Here is a 16,919-nt window from a genome sequence, read left to right as displayed (position 1 = left end):
AGCATAGTTTGAAGTCAGGTAGTGTGATGCTTCCAGCTTTGTTCTTTTTGCTTAGGACTGTCTTGGCTATACAGGTTTTTTTTTGATCCCATACGAAATTTAAAGTAGTTTTTTCTAATTCTCTGAAAAATGTCAATGGTAGTTTGATGGGAATAGCACTGAATCTATAAATTACTTTGAGCAGTATGGCCATTTTCACGATATCGATTCTTCCTATCCATGAGGATGGAATGTTCTTCCATTTGTTTGTGTAATCTCTTATTTCCTTGAGCAGTGATTTGTAGTTCTCCTTGAAGAGGTCCTTCACATCCCTCTTTAGCTGTATTCCTGGGTATTTTATTCTCTTTGTAATGATTGTGAATTGGAGTTCATTTGTGATTTGGCTCTCTGCTTGTCTATTGTTGGATTAAAGGAATGCTTGTAATTTTTGCACATTGATTTTTTATCCTGCGACTTTGCTGAAGTTACTTCTCAGCTTAAGGAGTTTTGGGGCTGAGATGATGGGGTATTCTAAATATAAAACCATGTTGTCTGCAAACACAGACAATTTGACTTCCTCTATTCCTATTTGAATACCCTTCATTTATTTCTCTTGCCTGATTATTGCCCTGGCCAGAATTTCCAATACCATGTTGAATAGGAGCAGTGAGAGAGGGTATTCTTGTCTATGCTGGTTTTCAAAGGGAATGCTTTCAATTATCCCCATTCAATGTGATATTGGCTGTGGATTTGTCATAAATAGCTCTTATTTTGAGATATGTTCCATCAATACCTAGTCTATTGAAGTTTTTAACATAAAGGGATGTTGCCTTTTATCAAAGGCCTTTTCTGCATCTATTGAGATAATCATGTGGTTTTTGTCTTGGGTTCTGTTTATGTGACGGATTACATTTATTGATTTGCGTATGTTGAACCAGACTTGCATCTCAGGATGAAGCCGACTTGATCATGGTGGATACGTTTTTTGATGTCCTCCTGGATTCAGTTTGCCAGTATTTTATTGAGGATTTTTGCATCAATGCTCATCAGGGATATTGGCCTGAAGTGTTCTTCTTTTGTTGTGTCTCTGCCCGGATTTGGTATCAGGATGATGCTGGCTTCATAAAATGAATTAGGGAGGAGTCCCTCCTTTTCAATTCTTCAGAATAGTTTCAGAAGAAATGGTACCAGCTCCTCTTTGTAACTCTGGTAGAATTCAGCTGTGGATCCATTTGGTCCTGGACATTTTTTGGTTGGTAGGCCATTAATTACTGCCTCAATTTCAGAACTTGCTATTGGTCTATTCAGGGCTCCAACTTCTTCCTGGTTTAGTCTTGGGAGGTTACCAGGAATTTATCAATTTCTTCTAGATTTTCTAGTTTATTTGTGTAGAGGTGTTTACAGTATTCTCTGATGGTAATTTGTATTTCTGTGGGGTCAGTGATGATACCCCCTTTTTCATATTTTATTGTGTCTATTTGGTGCTTCTCTCTTTTCTTCTTTATTAGTCTAGCTAGTGGCTTATCTATTTTTTAAATTTTTTTAAAAAACCAGCTCCTGGTTTTATTGATTTTTTTGGAGGGTTTTTTGGGTTTCTATGTCCTTCAGTTCTGCTCTGCTCTTAGTTATTTCTTGTTTTATGCTAGCTTTTGGATTAGTTTGCTTTTGCCTCTCTAGCTCTTTTAATTGTGATATTAGGGTGTCGATTTGAGATCTTTGCAGCTTTGTGATGTGTGCATTTAGTGCTATAAATTTCCCTCTTAACACTGCTTTAACTGTGTCCCAGAGATTCTGGTACATTGTCTCTTTGTTCTCATTGGTTTCCAAGAACTTCTTGATTTCTGCCTGAATTTCATTATTTACCCAGGAGTCACTTGGGAGCAGGTTGTTCAGTTTCCATGTAATTGTGTGGTTTTGAATGTGTTTTTTAGTCCTGAGTTCTAATTTGATTGCATTGTGGTCTGAGAGACTGTTTGTTATGATTTTAGTTCTTTTGCTTTTGCTGAGGAATGTTTTACTTCCAATTATGTGGTCGATTTTAGAATAAGTTCCATGTGGTACTGAGAAGAATGTATATTCTGTTGATTTGGGTTGGAGAGTTCTGTAGATGTCTATTAGGTCCACTTGATACAGAGCTGAGTTCAAGCCCTGAATATCCTTGCTAATTTTCTGTCTCATTGATCTCTCTAATATTGGTAGTAGAATGTTAAAGTCTCCCACTATTATTGTGTGGGAGTCTGAGTATCTTTGTAAGTCTCTAAGAACTTATTTTATGAATCTGGGTGCTCCTGTATAGGGTGCATATATATTTAGAGTAGTTAGCTCTTGTTGAACTGTTCCCTTTACCATCATGCAAGGCCTTCTTTGTCTTTTTTTTTATCTTGTTGGTTTAAAGTCTGTTTTGTCAGAGACTAGGATTGCAACCCATGCTTTTTTTTTTTTTTTTTTTCTTTCCATTTGCTTGGTAAATTTTCCTCCATCCCTTTGTTTTGAACCTATGTGTGTCTTTGCACATGAAATGGATCTCCTGAATATAGCACATCAATGGGTCCTGACTTTTTATTCAATTTGCCAGTCTGTGTCTTTTAATTGGGGCATTTAGCCCATTTACATTTAAGGTTAGCATTCTTATGTGTGAATTTGATCCATCATCATGATGCTATCTGGTTATTTTGCACAACAGTTGATGCAGTTTCTACATAGTGCCATTGGTTTTATATTTTGGTGTGTTTTTGCAGTGGCTGGTACTGGTTTTTCCTTTCCATATTTAGTGCTTCTTTCAGGAGCTCTTGCAAGGCAGACCAAATGGTAACAAAATCTCTCAGCATTTGCTTGCCCAGAAATGATTTTATTTCTTCTTCGCTTATGAAGCTTAGTTTGGCTGAATATTAAATTCTGGGTTGAAAATTCTTTTCTTTAAGAATGTTGAATATTGGCCTCCAATCTCTTCTAGCTTGTAGAGTTTCTGTTGAGAGGTCTTCTGTTAGTCTGAAGGGCTTTGCTTTGTAGGTTACTTTGCCTTTCTCTCTGGCTGCCCTTAATATTTTTTCATTCATTTCAACCTTGGAGAATCTGATGATTATGTGTCTTGGGGTTGATCTTCTCATGAAATATCTTAGTGGTGTTCTCTGTATTTCCTGAATTTGCATGTTGGCCAGTCTTGCTATGTTGGGGAAGTTCTCCTGGATAAAGGATAGGTAAATTCTATGGGTAATACAGTAGATATAGTGCAACAGGAACTTACCAGTTAAGATACAGTCATAACCACTCACCCCTAGTTGGAATGTAGGTTTCACACAACTCCCACTGATGAAAAGAAATATATGTATTTTTCAACTGTTTAACCCTTTGTTAAGTTTTCTTGTGTAAAATTATCTGCAGAGCCATGAAAAACCATTTGATATTTGTGACTAAGCAGCCTGTTTGGATGATTATGCTCTTCAGTATGAATGGTGAGCTGTTAAATGACATGCTCAATCATTGCTATGGAAGAAATTTGTTCTTACTAGCAACTTGAAGCTTAAAGAAACATTTATAGGAAAGAAAATTACTCAAAGCTTTAAATAAGGCTACTTTTAGAGTTGGCCTTAGACTACCTAGAGGGCATGATGATTAATCTTTCACAAATTACAGATTTTATTTGTTCATGTCCAGTGAGGTGACTTCTTGGTGGACATCTTCATTGCAATTTTCAGCAGCTCTATCAATGACACATGTTAACTGAAGCTGACATGGGTTGCTCTTGCTCTCTTGGAATGTCTTTATTTCTGTCCTAATATGCAAAGGTAGTGCCAGAATTTCTTAATAGGAGGGCCTCAGGTATAACAATCTAGTTGACAGGAAAAGCAATGGAATCTTCACTGCATTTGCATCACAAGCATACTGTTTTTTCTTACGTGTGTTTTTTAGGGTGTCTTGGGATGTTGATCCTCTTTAAGTCAAATAGAAAAAATGAAAATGAAATGCCATAGCCAATATTAGAGATATATTAATTTTAGTCTTTGTTGCTTTTATATTTTTCTAGGACAAAGAGATCTTCAAAAATCAAAAATGAGGTTCACATTTACAAGCCGGTGCTTGGCACTGTTTCTTCTTCTAAATGTAAGTAAAACAAAAGTATTCAAAGCCATGCTAATGAAGAATGCTGAATAAGGAGGAATGTTTTGAGTGTGATTTAATTAGTATTTGCAAGGGTAGGCATTGGTCTCCAGAAGCCGAAACTAAGTTCCTCAAAGCCATTATTTTGCTTAATATTTTGTTAACAAATCTCTCCTCTGAACTGTCTCTAATTTAAATTAGTGTTTGTGGTCTACCCAGAAATTTGAGTTTTGTTTACAAAACTTTAGCATTAATTTTAGACATCTCCATATTATCTTAGAAATTAACATAGTTGGTAAATAATATTCTCAGGTAAAATGTTTTCATGTTGAAAAAACTATGTTTTGAATCTTAGTTCAAAACTATGATTTGAATGATAGTTTCTGGGCTGTTCAATCCTTTTAAAACATCTGGGCTGTTCAATTCTTTTAAAACTTCTGAACTCTTTCAGTCTGGCTATTGATTTCAAATGTATTTTTCATCAAAAACTGACTATGGAAACTTCAAGTCTTTATATACCACTATTATTCTATAACTCTTTCTCCAATCTTTTAAATTATGTTCAGTTTGTGTAATTCTATATTGTTTTATTCCTAAAAGATTTAGCAAGTAATCGGAAATATAATCATCTTAGAGAACACTATCAATGCCTATTATTTGTGTCAACATTGTTAACCTACCATCACATCAGCTTCAATAGCACATGAATGGGAGATGAGTAAATTTTACGTAAATCAATGTGGAGCTGCCTTGCTTCTTATCCTTTCTGTCACATCAGAGTAACATTTGCTAATAAATTACAGTTGGCAGCAAAGATCACTCAATATCTCATACTGTCATACTGACCCACACAAAGCTTGCATAGGGTTCGAGGATTTCCATTGTTTATTAATGTGTAGTTATAGGCCTACAAGTCTGTCTAAACTGTTTGTCTTTATATTATTCAAGAAAAAAATATTGCTAGTATTTCATAAATGTTAATTTAATTTGTAAGGCAATTTTTATTTTGTAATATTGTACATCAAATAAATGGTGTATGGGAATGACTATTAATGCAACCCTTTTGCACCTATTTGGATAATGAGTATAACTTATTTTATTGTCAGTTTGTCTTATCATTTTATCCTATTAAATATTTCTTTAGATAAATTACAGTAAAATTTTCTAAAAGTAATTAGTATTTGGAAATGCAGGTTTCTTTATGTCACTGGAAATATAATAAAAACACTAAACAAGACTACTATGGAAACTAATAGAATATTTTAATTTGCCAGTAAATACCCAGGCCTTATGTGGTCTTCTATGGATGTAAAAATATTGCTATATATTATTGATATTGTTATTTTTCATAGCTCAAATGAAATCCTAAGTGATCTGGTATATGTGAATATTTTTGAATAATCATGCTTCATAAATAATTATATTGAACATGACAGAAGAAAAACTAAAGAAAGAACTAAATACTAACAAAATTGTTTGAAGATTATCTAATTACCTTTTTTATTACAAAGGCTTTAGAAAATTTGTAGTGTGTTCAAAAAGCAACGTAGGTCATTTTTATTCAAAACTTTTACTAATGTAGTCTATAATTTAAATATTGAAAAAAATGCACATCTTTGCATGAGCCATGGACAGAAACATTTTATGGCTTGTGGGCACCTCTTGACCAGCAAGCATAACTGAACAGGGCACTTAAATGGGTTTGTGCTCTCTTTGCTGTGACAGAGAGAAATTTGCTTCTCTCTCTGTATTTGGATTATATATTTGATTTGGAGGATTTGTCCATAAAACAAAATTTGATATGTCCATTTTCTTCAAAACGTTTATTATGTTCACACTGACACTTCTCAGAGAAAAAAAATTTTAATGACAATGTTCCTAATTAATCCGAAATATTACTTTTTAGACAATAGATTGTTGTGAAAATACACTAACTATTGAACTCTATCAACTCGATTTCCATATAGGTTTTAAAGTCTCAGTTTGGGTCACCACCTTCAATTAGCCTCTTTCCATTAACCATAACCACCCACTCAATTCCTCTCCCTCCTGCGAGGTATACAGTAAGCTTAGAGCAGCAGTTGGTATACAGTGAGCTCTCAGAAAAAGATGCCAGTGACGATGCTGATGACAACAAAGCCAATGGTAATAACAAAGACATAAAAATTAGGTTCTTCAGAGCAGGTGTTATTGTTACTTGTTTACTTATCTATGTTCACCTATTTGCTTTGAATTTATGATATATGCAGTTTCGTTGTTTATATAATGTAAGTAGAATTACACAGTACACCAGCCAGGCATCTGATCTTACCTGGGAAAACCAGGGCTAACACTTTTTACAACAGTGTGCTTTGTCCTTTCTTATTTTGAAATGTGTAAGTAACTGAAAAGCAAAAATAATTATATACATTATCAACATTAAGGATGGTGACATGAAAATCTCATTGGTTGCATCAGTTTGTGGATTCTAGGTTTACATACTTTTTAGAGTAGTTTTGCATGTGGCAATCAATAGGAAGCTCTCCCTTCAGCACAGCAGCTTGGGTCCATACACTCAGTGGGCTTGAACTATTGCAGAGATGGACCATTTCTCAAAGTTCCATGAAGAACAGCTCTGTAACTGTCTCTGTACTTCTAGAAACTGCCTGTAACCCAAAAGCAAACTGACTGTCCTACATCACAGTAGGAATTGCATAAGCATATGACCATTTCAAATCAGATTCCTTTCCTGTGGATTCCATGATTAGTGTGGATAAAATCAAGAATGTAAGCTCTATGAGAGCAGGTGGCTTGCCAGTTTGGTTCACTGCTGAATTTCCAGAACCTAGAAGAGTGCCTGACATGTGAGAGGCACTCAAAGTATTTGTCGACTGAAAAAAACTGATGATGTTTGGGCTGCTGACTACTGCTGTTGGTGGCAGCTTGGTGGTCGTATGTGTGACGCCATTTACTTGAACCTTTAGGAGTGACATCACATATACGGCAGCTAAACTGCTACATGGGACAACAATTAAGAGTTTTGTTTGTTTGTATGTTGAAAAATCATGTAAGATGGTTTATATGCAAAGCTTTGAAAACTGATGTTTATTCAGAAAAACAATATGCCCTTAATATCTCATTTCTATCTGAATGTGAACATATAATCATATTTTTATTTAACCCCCTGAAATAAGTAGTATAGACATAACACTTATAATAAGTAGGATATTTGAAGTCTCTTACATTGTTTGGTAGTTTCATCCAATCACTACTGGTTTTATTTTGTCTCTGTATTGCTGAAAATGATACCACCTTCCCAGCAATTCTTATTTGTATAAAATTATCAGCAAAAGTTTAACATTTAATAAACTTTATGAAATTTGTATATGTGTTATTTTTAAGCAGTAGTAATTCCATGATTGTAATTATATATATATAATATACATAAAATCATACATATACATATATTTATATGTTTATATCTATCTATCTGTCTGTCTATCTATCTATCTATCTATCTATCTATCTATCTATCTATCTATCTATACAGTCAGCCCTCTGTATCCATGGGTTGTACATCCATAGATTGAACCAATCTTGGATAGAAAATATTCAGGAAAAAATTGTATTGTAAACATACAGACTATTTTTCTTTTTATTATTTCCTAAATAATACAGTATAACAACTATTTACATCATATTTACATTGTACTAGGTATAAATAATCTGGGGATGATTTAAATAATACAGGAGGATGTACATAGGTTATATGCAAATACTACACCATTTTATATGAAGGACCTAAGCATCCTCAGATTTTGGTATCCACATATGCAAATACTACACCATTTTATATGAAGTACCTAAGCATCCTCAGATTTTGGTATCCACAGGAGGTCCTGCAACCAATCCCCTGAGTATACCAAGGGATGACTGTATGTATAAACGTAATGCCCCAATGGGTATGTTATTTTAGGAAGAAGGCCACTGAGACATTCATCTACTGTTGGGAAAATTCCATCTTCAGTGCTCAAATATGAACCAGACCAGGAACTGATGCAGATTATTACTGCTCATCTGACAACAGAGGTTCTAATTTTTCATTCCTTCAGTGTTGAAACAATCTCTACTGAACCAGCTTCAAACAAGTTCACTGGAGTTTGTTTCAATATTGCAAGAATGATAAGATGGAAGCTACTTTCATCAGCATGAATTATAACTACTCGTATACAGATTGTCGTATTTCCACTGTTACTGATGTTAAAACTGCATTAAAGCAAATAAAAATATAATTGAAAATACAAGCATAGGGTTTTCTACTTGTTATCCTCGGACATACTATTTGCCTATGGTTTCCATGAATTTCCAACTAGAGCAAGAAAATCTCTTGGTTGGTTGTCAGCCATATAAAAAGAGAATTCAGAATGTTACTTTTGGGAAGAAAGCCAGATTTAAACAAAATACTTCCCAGTGTTTAGCATATCTAATACAAGTGACAGATAAGATTTATATATGACATCATGTTCCATCTTCTAATTCGATTTGAAGATGGTGAGAAAATGGTCCAGAAATTAATAATACATCAAATGATCATTCTCATATTAACTGAAGATTTTAGAGCCACAAAAGAAGAATCTAAAATAAATGTATAAGTTGAACCAATAATTAATATCTCTATTGTGAAGGCATCATGATCCATTCTTGTTTTGATGGTTGCCTAATATGTAATTGAATTTTTAAAACACACATATTCATACAAAAGTTGAGTAATAAACTAAAAAAAGAAACCTCAACATGGAATCCCTTCAAATTACTCTTTTTTAAAAATTTTGCAAATCGTGTTCCAATTCCATTAGGAATATCTAAGAATTTTATGACTGATGATTCTTTATTGTTCATAATTTCAAGTATCAGAAATATATTTTATAGTGTTGGTCCATCTTGCCAGACTGTAAGCTCTATGAGAGCACAGTCTACACTTATTTTATTCAGCACTGTATCCTCAGCATCTGGCACAATGTTGGGCTCATCAAGTTTGATCAATATTTGCTGACTGATCTGAAGACCAGTGGGGAAAGTGTCATATATCAAAAGAATTGTGTTCAGCTACACTGGTAAAGGATTTGCACAGTTATAATCATTTTTATGGGTTCATTACTTTCTCTTCTGACATAAATTCAAGAGACATTAAAATTAGAAATCAACAAAATGTTTAAAGAGTAGTGTCAACCTTATTCACAATTGGTGTCCATTTGAAGTTATCACAGTAATGTTATAATAATGATAAGTATTCACCCTCTTCTCTTTGCAAGATATTTCCACTAGGATGGCTTGCTACCATCTCCAAATCTAACCCAAAATAGGACTTACTTACCAAGGGGGAGAAGTTCCCCCTAATAAGGTTTTCCTTTCCCAGCATCTTCCCTTTCTTGGGAACTATTTTTTTCCCCAAATATCTAGGCTAATTATCTGGGCTATTTGACTATTACTGTTTCCCATTCCTTGTATTCAAATATGCCTTCATGTTTTTATTATTGAGAAGGTGCTAAGAGTGGTACTTTCTTGTTCCAACATGGACTGATCTAGTCCAGCCAGGCCTTCAACTTCCTGGCTGCCCCCACCCCACCCCGCAACTTTAACCTGTGGACATCTGATGCCTGCTGCATGAATTTTACTAAAAATTCTCCTTTCACAACCTTCACTGATCAAAAATCTACAAAACATCTTTATCATATATATTATGTTATATACCATGTTTTAACAATATTAGCTAAAATGTTTTGAACCTTTCATGTCCCTGACACTTGGTGTTTATTGTCTTGTTCATCCTCACAACATGACAGATGATAAATATTATTCTTACCGCTCTTCTTATTTTACGTTTCCTAGGTTGAGGAAACAGATCTAGTGAGAGGTTGCTAACCTGCTCAAAGTGACAAAACAAGTTTTAACTCTTTTTTTGTTATCTGAAGATTCAGATAATGCAGTCTTGAAAGCAAAGTCCTGACCTTCTTACCCTCAAATATGCTCCCCTTCAGGCAAGATGGTTTTCTCACAGTGGCTCATGCATGTCATTTCCAACCTCCAGACTTTTGTGGGAAAGGTCCCTCCATCCCAAAAGGCTTCTCGACCCCCCCTTGTGCCTATGCAGAAACTTCCCACACTCAAGATACAATTCAAATTCTACCTTGTATCTGTAGCCATCCTGAATATTTTTGCTCCCTACTCTCTCCAAACTCTGAATTTTGATTGGATTCTGTGCTGGACAGCTTAGCAGTTAGTGATGTGCTGTCGTGTAGGACATATACAATGACACACATGGAAAACAGTGAGGATTCACCATGAAGAGCCAGGAATATACATGTCAACTTAATAGGGATGAGTTTTGTTTAGAAACTAGCACATATAGAAGAGTACATAACACCACTTCTGCCATCAATACAATTGGAGAAACTTCAATCTTAGAATTGAAATTTCAACGGGTATGATAGAAATTAAGCAGCATTCCTAAATTTAGAAAAAGGAAAGTCAGTGCAGGCTGATGTTTTTAGGTCTCCTCAAAAAAAGAAAAAAAAATCTCTATGCAGAACATGGATATTAAAAATTCGCAGATTCCAACACCACTAAAAACATTGGTCATAGCCACAAAAGAAATTGAAATCTTTATAAACACAAGTTAGGAAGAACAGTGTGACAGAGTGATCTTTTCAAACACCCACATTACCTTTGAAAAAGAGAGGCTTGTGATGGTGATGATTAACTGAAACTGAAAAAAACTATTGTCAATCTGTACCAAAATGCAAATGTGCTGAGATAAATATCTAAGAAATACATTGATTTTTCATTAGTGAACATGAATTGCCCTGTACAGGTCATCTGCTGTTGAAACCAATTTAAGGAGATTATGGTCAATTATGAGGAGCAGAAAACATATTTTGTTTGTTCCATGGAATAGATGGGATAAATTTCTGGCAGTGTACACAGCACCAATAAAATTTAGCTGAAAGAATCAAATAAAAAAGCATATTTATTGAACTATGTCTATTTTTTAATAACATGATTCATGATTCTTAAGAGTAAGGCAAAGTTGATTTCATATTTGTATTTTTTGGAAATTAGATTATTTGTTTTGTTTACTTCTAAACTTTAGAATCATAATACAGTTAAAACAATCCTAGCTGATAAAGAGGTATATGAGTGTGTAGGTGTTATCCATTTTCAATAGTAAATGGAAACTAATGCAAATGTAAAATGTGCCAGTAGAATTTGTAGATGAAATGTGAAAACATTTTTTGTAATATATATGAAAAAAACTGTACATAGAGACCATGAATAAGTATTGCTTAGAGAGCAAAAATAAATGTTTTCAAACTTTTTCATTGTCTCATTTATTTGTGCTCACCCATTCCTCCTGTCTATAAGTAACTGATTTTTCTTTTTAATACAGCACCCAACCCCAATTCTTCCTGCCTTTTCAAATCAAACCTATCCAACAATAGAGCCCAAGCCATTTCTTTACGTCGTAGGACGAAAGAAGATGATGGATGCACAGTACAAATGCTATGACCGAATGCAGCAGTTACCCGCATACCAAGGAGAAGGTAAAGAGAAGGATATATATGAACATATGTTTGAAACACCATTACAGACATTTTCTTTTGTGGTTAAATATGTGTTGAATAATTTTAATTTAATATGCCAGCAGTTTTCACAGCAGTTTTCACACTATGGTATGTTTGTGTATTTCATGCAGTGCATATGCCTAATTTCTTTGCCCAAGTTCATCTGACTGCAATTTGGCTAACATCTGCCCTCATGATAAAATTACCGCAATAATTCAGTATTCACACCTGGTGAGCCGGAACAGTAAAGGACCGAGTGAGGGAGGGGATGTACAAAATGACAGGAAAGGGAATTGGAAAATAGAGGGCAGAGAATTTGCCTGAGGTGGACCCTATCAAACCCTATCTTGCTTGGATTAATTAGGTAGTATCTTCCCTTTAACTGTCAATTGGTTGGCAACCCATACTATTCTTCCACACTTTCTGGCCCCACTTTCCAGGAGAATTACAAAAAGGTACCTCCTAGCCAGACATTGTTTATCTACCAGCTTCTCTAGAATGGCTGTATGTGACTGCCCAGATATTTTCAGGTCTAAACATATTCTATTAGCTGTAGAGGACCCATAGAAAAACAAAAGGGGAGATGTGATGGGCAAGCTCATTGCAACATCCCTTTAAATTCTCCTACTTGTCCCCTGAGGCATTTGAAAAGATTCAATAAGATCTTTTACTATATATATATATATATATATATATTTAAGACAGGGTCTCACTCTCTCGCCCAGGACGATCCTCCCACTTTAGCCTCCTGAGCAGTTGGGACTACAGGTGCATGCCACCATGCCCAGCAAATTTTTGTATTTTTTTGTAGAGATGGGGTTTTGCCATGTTGTCCATGCTGGTCTCCAACTCCTGGGCTCAGGAGAGGTTCCCAAAGTGCTAGGATTACAGGCGTGAGACACTGCATCTGGCCTACTACCATGTACATTTTAAGACAACCCAACTTGGTAGGGAAAAAAATGGTAAAATATACTCTGTTACTGCACATTCTTTGCTTTCAAATAGTTCAAGTTTTAGTTTGTAGTTCTTATTTTTACCATTTTCCTTTAAACAAAAACATCAAGTCAACTGAAAGGCAGATACATATTATTCTTCTGTCTGCAGTAATTTCAGTGTTTATCAAGAACTGAACAGGCATTAGACATAACTCTGACCAAAGGAGAAACAATTTCGTTGAAGCCAGTGAGACAATAAAAACACAGAACTGATATTTTTGGGGTTTTCTGAGAGCTCTTTTCATTTTTTAAATAATTTTTGAGAGCTTTCTTGAAAGCCTGGATCTGATTCTTTTGAATACATACCTTTATAGAAGTAAATCTTCATGGTTTTAGGTAGAATTTTTTTTTTTTTTTTTTTTTTTTTTTTTTTTTTGAGAGAGGGTCTTGCAGTCTTTGGGGCATTTGCTTTTTTGATGCACTCAACTTTGGAACCTTTTACAAAGTAGAAATAGAACCCTGCTTGTCATCCAATGAGATAATTTGGTCACAGATATGCTAAGCCTATTTGAAACTTTATTTCCAAAATAAATGACTTGGCTTGTTTGAAATGTGGTTGGTTATGACTGGTGTAGTGAGCTCAGCTACTTGTAATATCGTCTTGGGATCAATCTTCTCATTTAGTTAAATCCACAAGGCTTCAATATCAATTTCCTTCTAAATGGCCAGGTCCATATTGCAATCGCACCTGGGATGGATGGCTGTGCTGGGATGACACACCGGCTGGAGTATTGTCCTATCAGTTCTGCCCAGATTATTTTCCGGATTTTGATCCATCAGGTAGAGTGTTTATTTTCATTTTATGTTCTTGCTATGAAGCTTTTAGAGTTTTCATGGTTTTGAGAAGAAAATCAGATACAAAATGTACCCACCTAATCATACTCCACATTTTAGCAACTTCTGAAGTGTTTCCTTAATTGAAATACTTCTTAGTTGTACAAATATTACAAGCTGTCCTTTTTTTTAAGTCATGTTGCTGGTCAGTTATATGTGTTGGTATTAAATTCTGGTTTATAAAAATAGCTTTTCTAAAACTCTGTGAATAGTTTTATTTAAATGTGAGTTTTAAAAATTTTTCAATTGTCTCACTGAAAAAGGGGTAGAAATCTTAATTATGAAGGAGACCCAGATGCTGAAACTAAATGGATTAGCTATGGGCACAACATATAGGTCCCTGTTAATGGGTGAAATTTGTTCCCAAGAGTAAAGTGAGCCTGAGCCTACAGGGGTTAAGTGGCTCTAGAATCCCAATTAAAGAAGAAAAATGAGTCTACCCCTGAAACAATGTTAGAAAAATGCTTTTTGTGCTTCCTTCCAGAGTGAAAGATCTAATCTGTCCCTGAAAACAAAATTTCACCTCAGTAAGGCAGAGATAATGGAAGTGGAATTGCAGAGGACCTCTTTTAAAACCAGTGCAGGCCAGCCACTTCTGGGAATTCCCATTGTGATGGAAAAGTTGGGATGTGAAGAAAGAAAGGGCTTTGTGCTGTGCCCTAAATCAGCTACATTCCTGGAATCTCTAACTAAATGCTATTTGATGATAATCCTTCAGGCCCTTATTGACTCTTCCCAATGAATGATGCTTCATTAATCTTGATTTGACAACTACATTAGAAGTTACTTGATTGGCACGAAGAGCTGTTGTGCAATTGAGGCTACTAGGCCAGTTCCAAAGTAACAATGGGGCTCTTGCCAAAGTGGATATAAATAGTGACTACAAGGCAAGGTTTTGATAAAAAAATCAGAGATTTACAGGCATCGATCCATCTTTTCAGCCTGGTTCTTATACAGAAACCTCTCAGCTGCAGGATAAATTCATTTTAAAAGTGTATCTGAAATATATACATATATTCCAAACTTAAATTATAAACATATACATAACATAATATATATATACACATACACACACATACCAAACTTAAATTCTTCAGGATTTTCTTATTGACCTAAAGCTTACATCTTAATGATGTACAAAACACATTAATGAAATGCCAGAGGTTTGTTTCACTTTGGAAAAAGTACTTGGTAAAAGATAGTGAAAGAGTGAAGAACTGTATTGAAATTCAAAAGAGGCTGACATTCTGAAGGAATATGCTGGAATGTAAAAAGCAAAATTTAACAAGGAAGCATTTACAGCCCTGCACTTGAAGACAAACAAACAATTTTAATGGCACAGAGCCATTAAATGGTCCAAATATGGTTTGGGACGGTGATTCTCAACCCAGATGCCCTTTCACAAAATGAAAAAAAAAATTGTGAGCTTATGAAAAATGCAGATGCCTGACCCCTGTCCAGATCAATAGAATTTGAATCTCTAGGGACAGGACCTCGGAATCTGCAAGTAGTTCCCCTGCGTGAATCTGGAGTGAGAGAAGCACATTGTACTTTTCATGGGTCAGTCCACACATAGAGTATTTTAGAGAGAAATATCAATTATCAAAGCACATGTGGAGAGTCTCCAGGCTGTTAGCGGAAAATCTGTGGGGAGTGAATAATGGGGGTGTTTGGTTTCTAAAGGGAAGTCCCAGAGTAAACATAATCCTTTCTTCAAGTATTGAAAGACTCATCAGGTGAAGTAGGACAAATTCTTGATAGTTATAACAGTTAAAACCAAGAAATGACTCGATCCAGACTTTAGTTAAAACAAAACAAAAAATACCATTTGCTATGGCCTTGTTCATGAGTGGAATGACCTTCTTTAAGAGTAGTATCTCTCTGCATACAATATATTTTCCCATACCTGGCTGCATAACTTCATTGAAACCAAATTACATTCATTTTATTTAAAAAAAAAACTACTTTCTGCAATCTAATAAATATAAATTGTGGCCACTTTTAAAAATTGCAAGTAAGCTTGGAAGGGTTGTCATTGACAAATAACATTAGCAAAATAATCGACAAATTTTCAACATCAATTTTTTGTGCTGATTAGTGCTAATCCTTTTTCACATGTTGTTAATGTCCAATAGAGATGCTTTAAATAGGGTTTGTCTAGTGGCTATCTCAGTAAATTTACAGTTTTAAGTTTTCTTATTTAACTTTGTAACAGATTTACATGAAGCAGTAATGATTCTAATAGGTTGCTTGAAAACATCTTTTGCTTGAAAAAATGTTTTTTCATCCATTTTAAATAAAAATTAAACATACAAATAACTCTATAACCTGCAGTTTAAATCTTGCATTTAGTTCAATAAGACCTGTTTTGGTCATACAATAAAAAATGATGAATTATACCTAAAAATTGCCAAGTTGAAAGGATTTTTTTACTAGCTCTTAGCAGATTGAGTAACCAAAACTACTAATAGAAAATTATTTTAAATATTATCAGATCTCAGTGATTTTTCAGCCCAATAAGTTTCTCTTTTCTTTAGTATGTTATTTCCTTAGCCTTTTAAACAATAGCAGTGTTCTTCAAATATTACCATATGATTCTGATTTCCACATCCTGTGCTAAAAAAGAACATAGCCATCTATAAAAGCATTATCTATACGTACAACAATGCTTTGCCTTTGTTAACATAGAAAAATGCTTCAAAAATATTTTCCCTGAGAAATGATCAAAGATTAAAATTTTGTGAAGATTCCAAATACACTTGCAAAATCTCCCTGCATATTATACCAATCTAGGCTTGCTATTTGATCTCTCAGACAATAAACACATCGAATGGGTGCTTTGAAGAACTGGAGAGTATCTGAATAACTCAGATTAAATTTGGCAAGTACATTCATTTTAGTGTTTACTTGTTCATTATTTCTATGTTATTTAATTCAACCTGATTTTTTCTTTCAGTTGCTTGGCCAATTCAGAGGTTAGAATTTAAATATTATCTTGTAGCTAACAACATTATCTAAAATTCTTTAGGTCACTGGAATGGAATGTAGATAACCTTGATCATTTATGAGATTTCACCTTCTAGAGTCCCAGTACCAAATTAAAATATTGTTGACCAGTATTATAATACAAAAGCGAGGTTTTTTTTAGACAATCCAGCCAAATTCTAATTTTATTTCAGTGCCATTTTAGTTGTTTGCTAACAATTATACTAGTTTTACAGTGTGTTTATCCTGCTGATAATAGTGTCTTGATAAATATTATCTCACCATTCTGACCACTTTTTACTCCCAATATATATTGATGTGATTTCCCAGCCTCATGCACTTTACCCAGAATCTCAGATATATACTCAGTTAATAATTAAGCAAAATACAGAACAAAGAAGTTTTCTTATTTATTTTTAAGATGGAG

General features: G+C 34.4%; 1 protein-coding gene and 2 non-coding genes across 5 annotated transcripts in view; all 3 read left to right on the top strand.

The window, feature by feature from the left end:
- CALCR (calcitonin receptor) overlaps positions 1-16,919 on the top strand; it is a 150,239-nt gene that overhangs the window by 83,714 nt on the left and 49,606 nt on the right. For all 3 annotated transcript variants that reach the window (NM_001742.4, NM_001164737.3, NM_001164738.2), the window contains 3 exons: positions 4,004-4,080; positions 11,504-11,657; positions 13,343-13,453. In NM_001742.4, the coding sequence (NP_001733.1) occupies positions 4,030-4,080; positions 11,504-11,657; positions 13,343-13,453 (316 nt within the window). In that variant the 5' untranslated portion in view covers positions 4,004-4,029. The remainder of the gene's footprint in view (positions 1-4,003; positions 4,081-11,503; positions 11,658-13,342; positions 13,454-16,919) is intronic.
- Positions 6,992-7,075, top strand: MIR489 (microRNA 489). The gene has a single exon (NR_030164.1). It is a non-coding gene; the product is annotated as a microRNA 489 (primary transcript).
- MIR653 (microRNA 653) lies at positions 8,156-8,251 on the top strand. The gene has a single exon (NR_030388.1). It is a non-coding gene; the product is annotated as a microRNA 653 (primary transcript).

Source organism: Homo sapiens, chromosome 7, assembly GCF_000001405.40.
Source record: "Homo sapiens chromosome 7, GRCh38.p14 Primary Assembly".
Taxonomy (NCBI): Eukaryota; Metazoa; Chordata; class Mammalia; order Primates; family Hominidae; genus Homo; species Homo sapiens.
The sequence above is the reverse complement of the archived record's forward strand: the minus strand, read 5'-3'. Positions and strand labels throughout refer to the sequence as shown.